Source organism: Homo sapiens, chromosome 18 (genome assembly GCF_000001405.40).
Source record: "Homo sapiens chromosome 18, GRCh38.p14 Primary Assembly".
NCBI classification, from domain to species: Eukaryota; Metazoa; Chordata; class Mammalia; order Primates; family Hominidae; genus Homo; species Homo sapiens.
In genome coordinates this window covers 228,110-245,988 of record NC_000018.10, presented here as the reverse complement: position 1 = coordinate 245,988, position 17,879 = coordinate 228,110, and the positions used below count along the sequence as shown (strand labels likewise).

The 17,879-nt window shown below is 37.5% G+C and overlaps 1 protein-coding gene across 5 annotated transcripts in view; it reads left to right on the top strand.

Annotated features, from left to right (window-relative positions):
• The window catches only part of THOC1 (THO complex subunit 1), a 53,528-nt gene that overhangs the window by 22,059 nt on the left and 13,590 nt on the right, over window positions 1-17,879 (top strand). Inside the window, exon 12 of one of the 5 annotated variants that reach the window (XM_017026104.2) lies at window positions 157-1,205. The exons of 3 other annotated variants lie outside the window; for them this stretch is intronic. In XM_017026104.2, coding sequence (XP_016881593.1) covers window positions 157-162 — 6 coding nt within the window. In that variant the 3' untranslated portion in view covers window positions 163-1,205. Of the gene's footprint in view, window positions 1-156; window positions 1,688-17,879 lie in introns of those variants that run through there. One more of the 5 variants, XM_011525774.2, reaches the window with a different exon arrangement.

The following is a 17,879-nucleotide window of genomic DNA, read 5'->3' as shown; positions in this document are numbered from 1 at the left end:
AAGTAAGGGGTTTAAAAGTTCCTTGTTAATCTTATTTATACATTTTAAAAAGTAAATTTTATTCAAATATAATGCTACAAGATTATGTAAAGTTTCTAGTCAAGATGGCACATTGAGTTTATGTTTCGACTCACTCCCTTTGCTCCAAACACATAGCAATGACGGGTAAAATATAAACGAGAAAACAAAAGAGACAAGGCTGGGCTTCCAGAAACAAGATAAATATCTTCATGGACCAGAAATGCCAAGTAGTGAGCAAAACTGCAGCCTGGGCCTGCTGGACTCTCTATCCAAGGCAGGTGGTGGTGTCCAGGAATTTGGCTACAAGTAACAGAGACTAAATGTGCACCATGTGGGACAAGGGGCCAGAGCCAGATTCACTTCTTGAAGCCAAGGACTAGGGTGGAACTTTTATCCAGTTTTGGGAAGAAACTAAGAAAAAATATTGCCAGTCTTCTGCCAAGGGCTATGGTTTTATAGGAAGTTGTGAGCCTAGGGATAACAAAGACAGCTTTGTGTCCATCTGCTTGCTCAGTGACCAGATATGTGATATGCTCAGTATACTTATGAAACAGCTGCTCCAAGAAGTCATCATAAGACTTCTTCTAGACTTTTGGACTCAGGGGCCCTGGTAGAAGCAGATGCAAAACTGCTAGACAGGGAAGGATGTACACAGAGAGGGAGGGGAAAGGAAGTAAACAAACATCCCAAAAGAAAAGGCTCCTGTTCAAAACTCTGATAAATTAAAATTCCAAAATCCATAAATCTAATGCTAAGAAGGATCACCAGCAAAATCAACTATTGGGATATATATATATATTTATTCCAGATGAAATATATAGCCTGACCAAGACTTTATGTATGTTTTGGATACTCAAAAAGATAATCGATGAGATAACATCCATTGAAAAGGAACAAGAAATCATGAAACAAAAGCAGGCTGAAATGAAGTAGGACAGTCGATACAACTAATCGGGAGTCTTGGGAATGAAAAATACAATAATTGAAACCAAAACTCAGCACACAGAATTAAACTATACACTGGACATAGATGAACAAAGAACTAGTGAACTGAAGAAGGTGATGAGAACTTCATCCAGCAAGCAGCACAGACAGATTTTTTTTTTTTAAGTGGAAGAGCAGTTAAAAGCCATGGTGAATAGATTGGGAATTTCCAACATCTGTCTAGTAGGATTTCCAAAGAAGAAAATGGAGGGAATGGTAGAGAAACTGGATTGCAAAGAATTGAAGGAAATCTCAAATCCTCAGCTTAAAAGTGTGTCACAACTGCCAAGCAGGATAAAGAAAGATAAATCTACTCTTCATTACATCATGCCATAACTGTGGGCATTCAGAGAAAACCTAAAAGCCACTAAGGGATAAGAAAGACAAATATACTGGGAAGGCACAGCAGTTTGACTGTTAGCAGATTTCTAACATATCAACCATTAATACCAGAAGACAGTAGAGAAATATTAAAGTGCTGAAAGAAAAATGACATTCAATCTAGAATTTTATACCGAGTTAAATATACTCAAGACTGTCGATGAAAGAAAGACATTTTTATTTAAAGACCAGGATAACTTACCACTCAGTGACCCTCATTTTGAAAAAAACTACTCAAGGATGTTCTTCAGGAGGAAGGAAATTGAACCCATAAGAATGGAGTGGGATACAGAAGGCAACGGTGAGCACAAAAATTGAAAAATATGACAGTAAATTTACTATTGACTATAAACACAAAAAAGTCATGAATGATTTAAAATTTTTTTAATTAAAAAATTTTATTAACGTGGAACTTAACTAGATGACAGTAATAATATGGAAGGGGAAAGCAGAGATGTTTAGTGAGTAATTTAAAATTATGGCAGTCCTTGTAATCTTCAGGAGTAGGAAAGGAATACTGAATATTCCTTTTCATGTATATTAAAAGGGTAACCACCAAAAGAAAACCAACTTGTTGCTCTCAAAGAACAGAGATCAAAGGGAGGCAGGGAGGAATCTAGACCACTTTATAAATCCAGCGAATGGCAGAAAAAAGGAAGAGAAAGGAGGAGAGAAATAGGTCAGTAATAACAAGTATAGACTGATTTAATATACCTAATAAGACTTTATCAGATTGGATTTTTAAAACTCCAGCTATATTTGTTAATTTAAATGAAACAAATATAGAAACCTTTTGGTTAACTAAAGAATTCAAAAGTTTTATTCTACTTCATGTGTAAGAAAATCCCAAAGCTCTTCTTGCTTAACAAAGAACCTTCCCAAGGTTACCTACTTTTAGAATGCAGAGGTGTCAGTTTAATATTATCAGGGCAAAAAAGTTACAAAATAAAACAACCAGTAAGAGTTGTGTATTTTTAAGAGTTACAGGTCCACATTTCTCAGGACATGACAGCTATTTCAAAACTCTGGATGTCTTAATTGATATATATATATATATTTTTTTTTGAGACGGAGTTTTGCTCTGTCGCCCAGGCTGGAGTGCAATGGCGTGGTCTTGGCTCACTGCAACCTCTGCCACCTGGGTTTAAGCGATTCTCCTGCCTCCACCTCCCGAACAAATAGCATTTCTAAAGACATTTTAGTAATGAAAAACAGCAGGATTAAACATTTTCAGAGAAATCTCCACATTGGAATATGGGATTGATGCTTTTATATCATTCTCCATTCACTTTGTCACACTTGGCTTTCTAATAGTATCTCTCCTTTTCTGATTCTTTGTGAACTTGCTTTCACCAGCAGTTAGAACATGAACTTTCAGGATTAAGCACTGAAATTTCATTAATTAATATCACATCACGAGGAAGGTAAAAACAGCTTTGAGAAGCTTAAAACTTACCATAGGAGTAAGAAAAAGGCACAAAATTGTACCAAAGAGAATGTGAGGCATGTAATGTTTTGCATCTTCATTTCCCTTTGTTGCCCCTTAAGCAACAACTTTGTCTTAAATTTACAGTCCTCTTTGTACATTCTTCATATTTTTTGGTGTATTTTTAGTTTTTACTACTTAATATACAAGTGAAAATATTTGTAATGCATTACGTGTATCATGGAAAATATGCAACATTTTATAAGCTTTACTGCTGCACTGAAAGAAGCCTTCCAGCATCTCTGTACCTTACATGGTGTTTTGATACTAGGATTCCCAAAAAGGCCTTCACACCTAAATATATGCCAGTTTTGGGCCTGATGTTACTTTCAACTTTTGATATAGATTTGGTAAGTCATGAGAAAGGTCTGGATTTTTCAGGGATATGGGTGCCATATTCCTTGCCAGTAAGAGCTAGCTAAAGTGAAATCTAAAGCTATGATTATTTGGAGCATAACTCTTTAGCCTATCATTTCACTGGTGAGCAGGTTTAGAAAAGTGCTTGTCATTACAAGGTTAGATCTTTCATCTCTGTAATAGAGCCGTGACCCCATCCAATGGGAATATTATCCAGAAGCATTGTGTTTTGTTACATGAATCTGGTCAGACTTTTCCTTAGGGATAGTCCGGAAACAATGCTTGGCAAGGATGATACAAACTTTTTTTTTTTTTTTGAGACACTTTTTTTTTGGCCCACTGTAACTTCCACCTCCTGGGTTCAAGCGATTCTCGTGCCTCAGCCTCCCAAGTAGCTGGGATTACAGGCGCCCAACACCACGCCTGGCCAATTTTTGTATTTTTAATAGAGACAGGTTTTTTGCCATGTTGGCCAGGCTGGTCTCGAACTCGCAGCCTCAGGTGATCTGCCTGCCTCAGCCTTCCAAAGTGCAGGGATTACAGGCGTGAGCCACCACGCCCAGCCAGATGATATAAACTTTATAGTTGGAGATAGGCCAGTCATGTGGCAACTACAGGTAGGTAGAGGTTCTACAAATAAAATGGGTGTCTTTGTAAATTATTGTGTCTTCCTTCTTAAAGAAAGAAGTTTCCCCTAGAAACAAAGTGCCACATTTTTGTACTACCTGGAGTGTGATTCTGAATACTAGTGCCCAACAGTATAGTTCCCTTTTTAGCAGAGCAAAATAATCCAGGGTTACTACTTGCTAAATGTAGTGCTGATACACCTGGGTTGCTTATTTTCTAATGCAGTGGAAAAGTATCTGTTCTTTAAGGTTAGTCCAGGATCATACTCAGAAATGTTAAGGGAGGATTTTACCTCTAATTGTTCAACTTATACCAAATAAAAGGCACTGGTATTGTAGGGATTCCTCCCTCTGTACTATGTAGCATGTAAAAGCAGAACAACATTTCAAAATGTTTAAGTACCATGAGTATTACCATGATGGTTAAAGGAATATATTTTTGGATCTTTTAAGTTCTCACAGAAAAGAGTATAATAACACTAATTAGATATAGGCTTTAGGGTTACCCAGTCCTTCAGAATAATACACTTCTCACTTTCCATCTGAGACTCAATGACCAAAATGATCAGATGGAATACTCAGTGGCTAGCAGTTACCAGGGTGAGGTTACCCACAGTTATGTACTGTTGACCCTAGTGTGGTCATTAGGCCATTCATTTTCATGGAGAAAAGAAAATTCACAATTTTGCTTGGTCTCTGCATTGTGTGAAGAGGCCTCTAGTTAGGACTTTTGGTCATTTTTTAAAAAAAAGTTCCTGGCAGTAAGAAACTATCCATATAGTCATTCTGCCTTAAATGTTTTGTACTTTTTATGTCCATTTGAGAGGTTGAATCTTTATGTAGTAACGGCTAAGGTGGGTCTCTTATAAGATATACTATAGCCTAGCTAGGAGCAAATGAAGGCAGAAGCAAGACCCTCCTGTTAACAAGTGGGCAGGCTAACCACTATGCTACAATTTTTTTTTTTATCTCATTAGTTGTTCTCGGCATGGGAGGCTTTTAGATAGCTCTGGAACAGGGTTGCACAGCAGGAGGTGAGCAGTGGGCAAGCAAGCGAAGCTTCATCTGTATTTACAGCTGCTCTCCATCACTCATATTACCACCTGAGCTCCGTCTCCTATCAGATCAGCAGCAGCATTAGATTCTCATAGGAACATGAACCCTATTGTAAACTGATCATGAGGGATCTAGGTTGTGTGCTCCTTATGAGAATCTAATGCCTGATGATCTGTCACTGTCTCCCACCAACCCCAGATGGGACCTTCTAGTTGCAGGTAAACAAGCTCAGGGCTTCCACTGATTCTACATTATGGTGAGTTGTATATGTATTTCATTATATATTACAATATATTAATAATAGAAATGAAGTACACAATAAATGTAATGCACTTGAATCATCCCAAAACCATTCCCTCTACCCCATAACCCCTGGTCTGTGGAAAAATTGTCTTCCATGAAACCAGTCCCTGGTGCCAAAAAGGTTGGGGATCCCTGCTTTAGAAGTCTTTTGCTGACAGTCATGTCAGTCTTAGCATATGGGTGTGCTTTCACTCGTCCTGTAAAGGTAAATACTATAGCCAAAACCTTTTCATATGATTGTAAAATTGACTTGTAATGGTCTTCAGGGCGGAAAGCATGAACTACCCTCTGTTTTGACATTTTTGAACTCTGGTCCTGACAGATAGAACAGTTCTTTAAATATCATTGAGCATATTACAAAACTTAGAGCATACTCTGCCATTGTTATTTTTAGAATAACCTCTGTGTGTGAGTCAAGCCATGGTTATACAAGCAAGATAAGAAAGTAAAGTGATTGATGCTACCAAGTAGCAGCCCTCTAGGAAAGACCAAAGACAGGGTGCAGAAGATGTACTGCCAAAGTAGGCTCTGAATTTGGAGCCTAATCTTGAAGAGAGGCAAAGTCTGAAAGGCTTAGCAGAGGAGACTAGTTATTTGATAAGATAAAGAGCAGAGATAGAATAAGAAGTCACCCAACCTTCTTATTAGCCAAAGTAATAGAAATTAATACTGACTATAACAGAAAGACCATTACAAATTTTAGATCCTCTAGAAATGAGAACTCTCATTATTTTTACAACAGTGTATAGTCATGATTACACAAAAGCATAACAAAGTCATATTTTAAATGTTAATAGACCTTTGAAAAGAAAATGTTCTCTGATGAGGACAATAATTTTGGACTCCTGGACAGACTCTGTAGAGGGCAAAAAATTATTACCTGGTTATAAATGGACTTCATACCCAGAGGAAAAAAAAATTTTTTCTCTGTGTTAATTGGGCTCCCTCCTCTATTATATACAAGTGTTTATTAGTTTTCAGTATACTTTGATATGCATGTTTTAATAGATCAGTGTTTAATAACAGTATTATTTAAAACTTTGGTTTTTAAAACAATTCTATCATGTTTAATATGTAAACATTAACTGATTTATTTCATCCTGAGTGTTATGAAGAACAAACATGTTAAGGTATAGTCAGAGATACATAGGTTTAAAAACATATGAATCAGGCCAGGCACAATGGCTCACGCCTGTGTCCCAGCACTCTGGGAGGCCGAGGCAGACAGATCACTTGAGGTCAGGTGTTTGAGACCAGCCTGGCCAACACAGCGAAACTCTGTCTGTACTAAAAATACAAAAAATTAGCCGGGCGTGGTGGCAGGTGCCTATGATCCCAGCTACTCGGGAGGCTGAGGTAGGAGAATTGCGTAAACCTAGGAGGCAGAGGTTGCAGTGAGCTGAGATCACACCACTGCACTCCATCCTGGGCAACAGAGCGAGACTCTGTCTCAAAAAATAAATAAATAAAATAAATAAAAGTATCGTATGTTAGGGACTTTTTATGTTTTCTGTGTCTGAATTTTAACTTTTTGTAGAAATTTTTTCAATACTCTGTAATCCTATAGAATATTAAAACTTTACCGGATAGCGTAAGAATATTCTGTAAATTCATATAATTTTCAGTATTGTCTGAGATTTATGAAAACCAATATATAAACACTGGCTGTTTAATCACAGCTTGATTTAGTTGTTCACCCATGTTTATGTGTAAATAATCCTGAGTTAATAATAGAGGTAACAACAAAATAACCAATGTTAATTAGAAAGTTTCATTTTAGCCTTTTAAAGGTAGAAAAGTCTTATGTTTATTAAAATTCTATATTTGTATCTTTTTTCTACCTTGTGGTTTAATCAAAGAAAAGTCATAAAGTCATCTTTTAAACTGAAAACTTTCAAACAGTACTAATGTAAAACATTAAAGAGTTTGTTTTACATTGACTATGAGTATTAAGGAAAATGAAATTTAAATTTTTGATATTTATTTTATTGAGGAATACTGTAGCCTTCTAAGTCTACTTCACAGTACAGTCATGCACCCCATAATGGCACCACATAACAACCACATAACTGGTCAACAGTGGACCCCATGTACAACAGTGGTTCTGTAAGATTATAGATTATATAATACTGTGTTTTTACTTTGCCTTTTCTATGTTTAGATACACAAATCCTTAACCATTGTGTTACAGTTGCTTACAGTATTCAGTGCAGTAACATGCTCTACAGGTTCGTAGCCCAGGAGCCATAGGCTGTACCATATAGCCTAGTTGTGTAGTAGGCAATACTATTGTTAAGTACACTCTATGATATTCACACAATGGGGAAATTGCCTAATGACACCTTTCTTAGAATGTATCCCTGTAGGTAAGCAACACATTATTAGTACAGAAAGTTGCTTAAAACTTTTTAATTTGAGACTGTATCTTCAGGTTACCTTTTTACTAAATAAAAGGATTGAGACTTGATAGCTCCTGCCTTCAGTGGGCATCTCCTTTTATCTTATAACTCAGCAGGGACACTGAGAGACCTTTAAGCTAAAATTAGATTTTTCATTTTTTTAAGAACTTTTTTTTGAAAGACAGTTTGAAAAGAATTATTAGAAAGTAGAGCTGGGTGCAGTGGCTCACACCTGTAATCCCAGCACCTTGGGAGGCCAAGGTGGGCAAATCACTTGAGGTCAGGAGTTTGAGAACCAGCCTGGCCAACATGGTGAAACCCCATCTCCACAAAATACAAAAATTATCCAGGCGTGGTGGTGCGTGCCTGTAATCCCAGCTGCCCTAGAGGCGGAGGCATGGGGATCCATTGAACCTGGGAGGCAGAGGTTGCGGTGAGCCAAGATTGCACCGCTGCACTCTAGCCTGGGCAACAGAGTGAGACTCCATCTCAAAAAGAAAAAAAAAGGAATACTATTTAAATTTATAATTTAGTTGTTTTTATACAATTGTTTACACATTCTTTTTCTCAGAAACCAAATGTTTTCTATTTCAATTGAGTAAGTTATATGGAAGGTACTATTCCAGGTAGAAAACTATTGTACAGTTTAGTCCTCTAGACCCTAATTTAATATCTAACACATTTGTGAAAATTAAAAGTTTAAATTGTTTAACGTTTAAAGCGAAATATTTGTAAACATACTAACTGTGGAACCTGTATTTTTTTTTTCCTAATCTGGGGAGAAAATGGGTATATTCAAAACATTTGGTGTTTAGGCTTGATTTCTTAATTGTCTGGGCAGATTTTAACAGCTCGTCCAGGATTATGTAAGCACTTAGTGGTGCCTTTCAACAATTTAAAAAGGAAATCCAGTATGTGAAGCCCAGTGTGGTGGCTCACGCTCGTAATCCCAGCACTTTGAGAGGTCAAGGTGGGTGGATCACTTGAGGCCAGGAGTTTGAGATCAGCCTGGCCAACATAGTGAAACCCCATCTCTACTAAAAATACAAAATTTAGCTGGGTGTGGTAGTGCGCACCTGTAGTCCCAGCTGCTCAGGAGGCTGAGGCAGAATTGCTTGAACCCGGGAGGCAGAGGTTGTAGTAAGCCACGATTGTGCCACTGCACTCCAGCCTGGGTAACAGAGCAAGACTCTGTCTCAAAAAAAAAAAAAAAAAAAATCCAGTACATGAGAGATTTAGTACTTTTCTAGAAATCTCTCAAGCCACACAGTCTGATCAGACTTATATACAGTAGAAACTGTAGAGCTGTGTTCTTTTCAGAGACTTAATACTTTTTTGAGAAATATGCAACTCCTGCAGTCATGCTACAGAAAGACTACCCTCTTGCCTACTCCCTGACACACAATTCATATGGGTTTTCACATAAAAGAAAAAAAAAAGCCTAACAGTCACAGGAAAATTATTAAATTATTAGGCCAACTAGAGGTCATACAAGAGCACTTTGAAGGAGTGAAAACATTCTGAACTAACTCAAGGTTAATAGAAGCGATCCTTTTGTGTACTGTACCTCACTGGGGCTCAAGAGCAAAACATAAAATCACATTTACACAGATGCTCTGAGCGTCCCATGTACCAAATTGCCATTGGTACATTTGTCTTCCGGGTGCACCAGTTTCCTTTTAATGAGGTTTGCATCTTAGAATCTTATTCTTTCGCCGGGCGCGGTGGCTCACGCCTGTAATCCCAGCACTTTGGGAGGCCGAGGCGGGCGGATCACGAGGTCAGGAGATCGAGACCATCCTGGCTAACACGGTGAAACCCTGTCTCTACTAAAAATACAAAAAAAAAAAAATTAGCCGGGCGTGGTAGCGGGCGCCTGTAGTTCCCAGCTACTCGGGAGGCTGAGGCAGGAGAATGGCGTGAACCCGGGAGGCGGAGCTTGCAGTGAGCCGAGATCGCGCCACTGCACTCCCGCCTGGGCGACAGAGCGAGACTCCGTCTCAAAAAAAAAAAAAAAAAAAAAAAGAATCTTATTCTTTCCTAGTTATGCAAAGCTGAGTTCTGTAATTCCATGATTTTCAGTAAGAAGGAAAAAAGCAGACCTAAGAAGCTTAAAACTTACATGGAAAATAAAAGAACACAAAATTTAATAAATTGAAGATGGAGCAGTTTGTATCCACAAGGGATATATACCTAAAACAAAACTCATGATTGAAATATTAGGATGGAAAGAGACATACCAGGCTAATACCAACAAAAAGAAAGCTACATAAATAACAAATAAAATAGAATTTAAGGGAAAAAGTATAAATAGGACAAGAAACACTACATAATAAAGGAATGAACCACCAAGGTGTCATGAACTTATATGTATTTAACAATATACCCTCAAAATATATTAAGCAAAAACTTACAAAATTATGAAAAGTTGGCCCACAATTACAGTATGTATTTTTAACTGCTTCTGATGGATCAGGTTGACTAAAGATTAGTTAAGTATATGGAAGATTTGAACAATGACAGTAATAAGCTTGGTGTAGTATAGAACAAATAGAAGCAACATATTTCTTTTTGTGTATACGTGGAACATTCACAAAATTTGACCATGTACTAGGTCACAAAGAAATTCTCAGCAAATTTCAAAGATTATACACGAAGAACACATTCTCTGGCCACATTTCTCTGTAATCAAATTAGAATTCTAAAATTAGAGCTGCAAAAAGGATAGCTTAAAAAAAGGCAAATATATGAAAACATAAAAATGCATTTCCCAGGAGTTAAAGAAGAACTCATAATGGAAATTCCAAATTTGTAATAAATGTATATCAAAATTGTAATTATAGGAAGAATTACATGTCAGAAGTGTGGGTTGCAAATAAAGGGAGATGCAAAGGGACAGTTAAAGCTTCATATGCATTAATGGAAAAAATGTCAAGAAAGAGTGACAAATTGAGCGTTCAACTCAAGAAGTTAGAAAAAGTACAAAATAAAGCTCAAGAAAATGGAAGTAATAATAGCACAACTTAGTGAAATAAAACAAACTAAAACATATCAGCAAAACTGAAAGTGTTTCTTTGAAAAGAAAATGTTATAAAAAGAAATCCAGAGCTTGTGCAAGGAAAATGAAAAGATACCAGCAAACAATATTAACAGTAAAAATTGACATAGAGATATTTCAAATGATTAAGAGGATATTATGAACAACTACGAATAAATTTTGAAGCCTAATAAAATGGGAATTGTTTAGAAAATTTTAATGACCGAAATAGACTCTCAAAAAAAAAAAAAAATAGAAAACCAAATAAATGAACAACCATTAAGGAAATACCAGCCAGAATGACACTTTTTGAATGACATCAGGCCCAGAGGTTTTTAAGGCATATCTTATCAACACTTCAAAGAATAAATAATTTCTACCATAAATGAAAATTTTCAGAAGTTAGAAAAAGAGAAGCCCCCCAGTTCATTATGTAAGATTATAACTTAAAATCCCAATAAGGACAGAACAAGGAAAAATGTGTATGTATATTCATCTCACATATAAATAGAATGTTTTCTATTTATAGAAATAAAAAATGTCTTACAAACTCACAAATTAAGTAATTTTTTTAAAAATAGAGACATACAGTTTATCCTAGGAATGTAAGTATGGTTCATCAGAAAGATGAATATAATGCCAGATTAACAACCGATTGGCTGGGCGTATTGGCTTACGCCTGTAATCCCAGCACTTTGGGAGGCCAAGGCCGGAGGATTGCTTGAGCCCAGGAGTTCAAGACCAGCCTGGGCAACACAGCAAGACCGTGTCTGAAAAAACAAAACAAAAAAAAAACAGATTAAAGATTTTTAAGATCTGTATGATCATCTCAGAAGCCAAGAAAATTCAATAAAATCTAATATTCAATACAAAAAGTAGAAAGGAATGTTCTCTGAGTTGATAAAGGACTGATTTTAAAAACCCTATTGCAAACATCATACACAATTATGAAACTTTAGAAAGTATTCCCATTAAATCCAAAAAGAAGACATGGATGGACACTAACCATATTTCTGTTCAACACCGTACTGGAGGATCTAACCATTTCAATAAGAGAAAAAAACAAAAAAGGAGTAAGAGTTATAAGTATTGGAAAGAAAAGAGTAAACTATCCCCATTTGAAGACAATATAATTGTCTACAGAGAAAAGTCCAAGAGAACCAAGAAACTGTTAGAACTAATGAAACTTCAGCAAGATTGCAAGAGAAACATCAATAGTGTTCTTATAAACCAGTAATCAATTACAACATGTTATTCAGAATAGCAGTGAAAGCTCTCCAATACCTAGGCGTAATCTTCATAGAGAAACATTACAAAAATGGAGCAGTGTTTCTACATTTATAGATACAGACCCAGTGCCCCTTCTCCCCAGATTTATTGATTCAGTATATTTTGAATCAGTATCCAAATGGGTTTTTTAATTTGAGTTATACCCAAAGGAATATAAATTGTTTTATTATAAAGACCAAATGGGTTTTTTCATGGGAACTCAAAAAGTTAGTCTTACTATTTCTATGGAAAAGCAAAGAGCCAAGAGTAAGAAAACCATGAAGAAAGCGGGAACACTTGCTGTGTCAGATATTAAGACCTATACAGCAATAGTAATTAGGGCAGGTAATTATTAGTACTAATATACAGAAGAAGAAAACTAAAACAATAGAAAGTCCAAATTGTAGAAAAGGTTAATATACAAAAGAAGATTGCATTATAAACTAGTGAGGAAAGGATGAATTATTTATTTATTTGTTTATTTTGAGACAGAGTTTCACTCTTGTTGCCCAGGCGAGTGCAGTGGCGCGATCTTGGCTCATCGCAGCCTCCACCTCCTGGGTTCAAGTGATTCTCTTGCCTCAGCCTCCCGAGTAACTGGGATTACAGGCATGCGCCACCATGCCCGGGTAATTTTATATTTTTAATAGAGACAAGGTTTCTCCATATTGGTCAGGCTGGTCTCAAACTCCCAACCTCAGGTGATCTGCCCGCCTCAGCCTCCCAAAGTGCTGGGATTACAGGTGTGAGCCACCAGGCCTGGCCTATTCTTAATAAATGTTGCTTGGACAATTCATTATCCATATGGAAAAATTAAAATTCAGTCTATACCTCAGTACAGTCAATTCTAGGTTAATCAATTCCAGGTTAATTGAAAGTATGAATGAGAAAAGCAAGACTTTTAAACATTTAGAAGAAAACATGAAATATGTAAATTTGGAGTAGGGAGAGATTTCTTGAGCTACAAAAAGCACAAATTGTGAGGGAAAAATATCAATTTAGTATTTAAGATTTAATATTAAGATGTAAAAGTCTTGAATAGCAAAAGATACCGTAGGCAAAGTAAAAAGACAAGGCACAGACTGGGAGAAGATTATTTGTCACCTACATAACCGGGAAAAATTAGTATTCAAAATATTCCATTGATAAAAGACAACCAAATGGAAAACTGAAAAGATGATAAGAAAAAGTAATTTAAAGATGTAGAAAACTGAATAGTGAATGAGCTTATAAAAGTTGCTAAGCATCTCTAGTGCAGATAAAATATGAGATAACCATACACTTAGCAAACTGGCCAAAATTGAAAAGCCTAACAATACTAGTATTGGCAGAGATGTGGGAAAATGAGAACTTTTATACACTGTTGAAATATAAATTGAATCAACCACTTTGCAGAATACTTTTGTAAAAACTAGTGAAGTTAAAATTTGTTCCTAAATATGGCCCCCTACACAGGACCCACATACACAAGGAAATCTCTAAGAAGATTCACTGTACCATTGTTTGTAAATGATGTATTTGTAAATGAAAGTTTAGAAACAGTGTCAATGTTCACAAGCAGAAGACTGGGTGATAAGATAATTTTACGTGACAGTTCTATAAAGCACTGAAAATGGATTAATTATAGCAGGGGTTGGCAAATCTGGCCTATCATCTATTTTTGTAGATAATTTTTATTGGGCCAGGTGCAGTGGCTGTAATCCCAGCACTTTGGGAGGCCAAGACGGGAGGATTGCTTGAAACCAGGAGTTTGAGACCAGCCTGAGCAACAAAGTGATACCCCCATCTCTACAAAAAAATTTTAAAATGAGCTGAGTGTGGTGGCATATGCCTGTAGTCCCAGCTACAGGGGAGGCTGAGGCAGGAGAATCACTTGAGCTCAGGAGGTCAAGGCTGCAGTGAGCCATATTCATGCTCCTGCATTCCAGCCTGGCTGACAGAGTCAGATCCTATCTCAGAAAACAATAAATAAGAATAATAATTTTTATTGGAACACAGCCACCCTCATTCATTTAGATTGTCTCTGACTGCTTTTGCTCTGTAACAGCAGAGATAAATAGTTGTGACAGAGATATATAGTCCATAAAGCCTAAAATAGTTTCTGGCTGGTCCTTAAAAGATTTGCCAATCCCTGAACTAGAGCAACATGTATTAAGATGGGTAAATTTCAAACATAGTGTTGTATGAAAATAGCAAATTGCAGAATAGCACATAATGTGTAGAGTTTGAAACAGTGCAAAGTACATCCATATATTATTTATAGATGTTTACATATGTAGTAATATAAAATGTGTATAAAAATCCTAACCGTGAAATACATGGTAGTGGTTACCATAGTAGAGGGAGGGAGGGAAATAGGAGTGGGGAGGGTTATAGAGGGAGCTTCAACAATGTCTATGATATTCTGTTTCTTTAACAGATATGTAACAAGTAAAAAATGTTAGGATTTTATATGTAGCTGGGTAGTGGGTACATGAATGTTGTATTACTTAACTATACCTTTTTGAACATTTAAAATATTTCATAATTTAAAAATTGGATAATTTGATCTCAGCTGATGTGTTATGACAGTTGGTAAGATTTTAATGAGAATGTTCTGAATATTTTCTAGCACATGTTTTTTATGTATTTTGTGTTAAATTGATAGAAATGGAAGATTTCATACACTTTAATTTTACCCAGGAATATTATTTATATGTAAAATTGATTGACAGAGAGGCATGTAAGGATGACTAAAATGAAAAGCATGAGCCTTTTTAGGGTTAGAATATCGGGAAAACTGAGGCCTGAGCTAAGATGTGCCATAAAAGCTAAGGACAGTAGCCTAGTCCAGTGATGTATGCCTGAAGTTCCAGCTATTTAGGAGACCAGGGCGGGAGGATCACTTGGGCCTAGGAGTTCAAGTTCAGCCTGGGCAACATAGCGAGACCCTTCTGTACTAAATACATACATACATACAGCTAAGGATAATAAAAGCCCTTTGCTCAAGATACAAAGACATTTACAAAGAAACATTTGGGCCAGGCATGATGGCCTACACCTGTAATCCCAGCACTTTGTAAGGCTGAGGCTGCAGGATTGCTTGAAGTTCAAAACAGCCTGGAGTTCACAACAGCCTGGGCAACAAAGTGAGACTCTGTCTCTACAAAAAATTTAAAAGAAAAAAATTAGCTGGGCATTGTGGCATATGCCGGTGGTCCTAGCTACTCAGGAGGCTGAGGCGAGAGAATTGGTTGAGCCCCTGAGTTCAAGGCTGCAGTGAGCTATGATGGTGCCATTGCACTCCAGCCTGAGAAGCAGAGTGAGACCCTGTCGCTAAAAATAATAATAATGAAATGTTTGACCCATGACATAGTGTAAATGATATAATTTTTTAAATAACCAAAGAAAAATGGAACTAGATAGTAGATATTATGAAAGAAAGGGTACAATTGAGTGTATTAGTTTTACTCTCAGCTGTGTCACTAACTAGCTGTGTAATCTTGCCTAGGTAGTTTTAACTTTTCTGGACCTAGTTTCCTTAAGTATAATGTGAAGCAGTTAGCTTGAATCACATTAGGTCCTTTCCACCCCTGATTCAGTGTTTTGTTGACTCCTATTTTCAATCCATTGTTTCTATCAAGGAAAATCTTTCAACATAAAAAAATAAAATGAACAGCTAGTAAGCATCACCTAGCCACTTTGGTTCGTCTCTTTAAGCTAGGGGTTCACATCTCTACTCCAGATGTATTGAACTGTGTACTTCGGTCCTTCAAATAGGCCAGTCTCTTATTTGGCTCCCCTTCTTGCACCCCCATCCCCCAACCCCCACTCTCCACCTTTAGGTTTGTTCCTTGTTGAGAGTTTAGATGCTGCTTTCTCCAGGAAGCCTTCCTAGAGTTGCTTGGGCAAATGGATGTTGGAGCCTCTCATTGAATTAGCCAATGCTGGAGAACAGCTTTTGTGGAGGAAATTGATGTTTTACTTTGTTCATGAAATCTGATCAGGTGTCAGTTGAACATTCAGGTAGAGATGTGTGATAGGTTGTCTAGTGTACAAAGCTGGAGACTAGGAACAAGATCTAGGTTGAGAGTATAGTTGTAGGAGTTACCAGTTTATAAATGGTAATTCAAACTGTAGAGTGTATGAAATGAGCTAAAGGGGAGAGTGTAGATTCAGAAGAGAAGAAAATACTGAAATCCCGAAGAAAACCCATGTTTAAGGGAGAATGAAGGGAGAAGAGGAGAAGATTGAAGAGTAACCTGTGAGATTAGAGAAAAACTAGAAAAGCATGCACTCATGGAAGCCAAGCATATCAAGTAGGATGAGGACAGTAAAGAGTGTTCACAGGATTTAACAACAAATAAGTCATTGGTGATCTTGACAAAACACTTTCTTCCCCCGCCCCAAGACCGATTGTTGCTCTGCTGCCCAGGCTGGAGTGCAGTGGCATGGTCTGGACTCATTGCAACCTCCGCCTCCCAGGTTTAAGCTATTCTCCTGCCTCAGCCTCCAGAGTAGCTGGAATTACAGGGCATGCACCACCACGCCCCGCTAATTTTTTTTTTTTTTAAATAGAGACGGGGTTTCACCATGTTGGCCAGGCTGGTCTCGAACTCCTGATCTTGTGATCCGCCCGCCTCAGCCTCCCAAAGTGCTGGGATTACAGGCGTGAACCACCACACCCAGCCGACAAAAACACTTTCAATGGATTAGTGGATGAGGCGGTCAGATGATAGCAGGTTGAGGAGCTGATTGGCAACAGTGCCTATAGTCAATTATTTTAAGAAGCTTTGCTGTTAAAGGGTTAGGTGAGAATGTGGGAGATTTTTGAGGGAGCTTATTTAATGCTTATGGAAAGGAGCTTGGAAAGAATAGGTTGTAGATACAGAAACCAGGGCAGTTAGTTGATGGAACTCAATTGTTAGGGATATTGGGATTCCAGATGGAAGGTAATCCAGATGGAATACCTTTAGCCGTGAAGGAGTTGTGACAGAAGGAAATGAAGTAAACAAAGGTGTAGGTGCAGCTGATTTGTCATTTTGGGGGCCAAGAAATGAAATGCTTTCCAATTTAATTTTTCTTCTCATTGAAGGCAAAAGTAGTTATCTACTGAAAGTGAGAAGGGGTGGTAAAGTAGTATTTTTGCTAAGTGGAAAGGGTTGAAAATCATTACTGTGAAGAGTAGGAGAGAGAATGGCCTTGAAGAATAAAGAAAGATTGCTGATTAAAAACAGATGTTTAAGGTGGTGACAACATACCAGTGGTGCCTTCTGCATAGCTGTGTAATTTGGGGTATTCACTCAGGCACCTCACTTTCAGCTGAGATTGGAATCCTGAGGGTTGGTATAGAGAAGGTGACTAACAGTTGGTTTATTCAAGGTTGCTGTTTGCTCACTAGACATGACAGAAGAAATATGGGACAAGTGTGTTGAAGTTGGCAAGAAAATGGCCGAAGAGATTAACCATGAAGTCTAGACCAGGAGTTGGCAGACTATAGCCTATAGGCCAAATCTGGCCCACCACCTGTGTTGGTTGTTTTTGGTGATTTTGGTTTTTTTTTCCCCCTTACATTTTAGATGTTTAAATACCTACATAATATCCATAATATGTCTCTTAGCCCACATAACCTATTAATAAAAATACTTACTATTTGACACTTCAGGAAAAAGTTTGCTGACCCCTTATCTAGACTAAAATAGGATTATAATAAAATGGGATGGGACTAACAGGCAGAGAATAGACGGGTCAAGGGCCTTAAAGTCTCGGTAAGATCCAAATATTAGGTATATTGGAAGCAACTGAGCGAGAGACCTGGGAAGGATAGAGGTTGTGGTGAGATAGGATTGTGAGTTGAAGACTTCAGATCTGGGGCAGCTGTGAGTGACCCCAGGTCTAGCTGTGGCCACAGTAGTGGGTAGCTGGAGCAGAGATGGGCCTGTCCGTGGAGTTAAGGGCAAGGAACTAACAGCCTGAGTGGA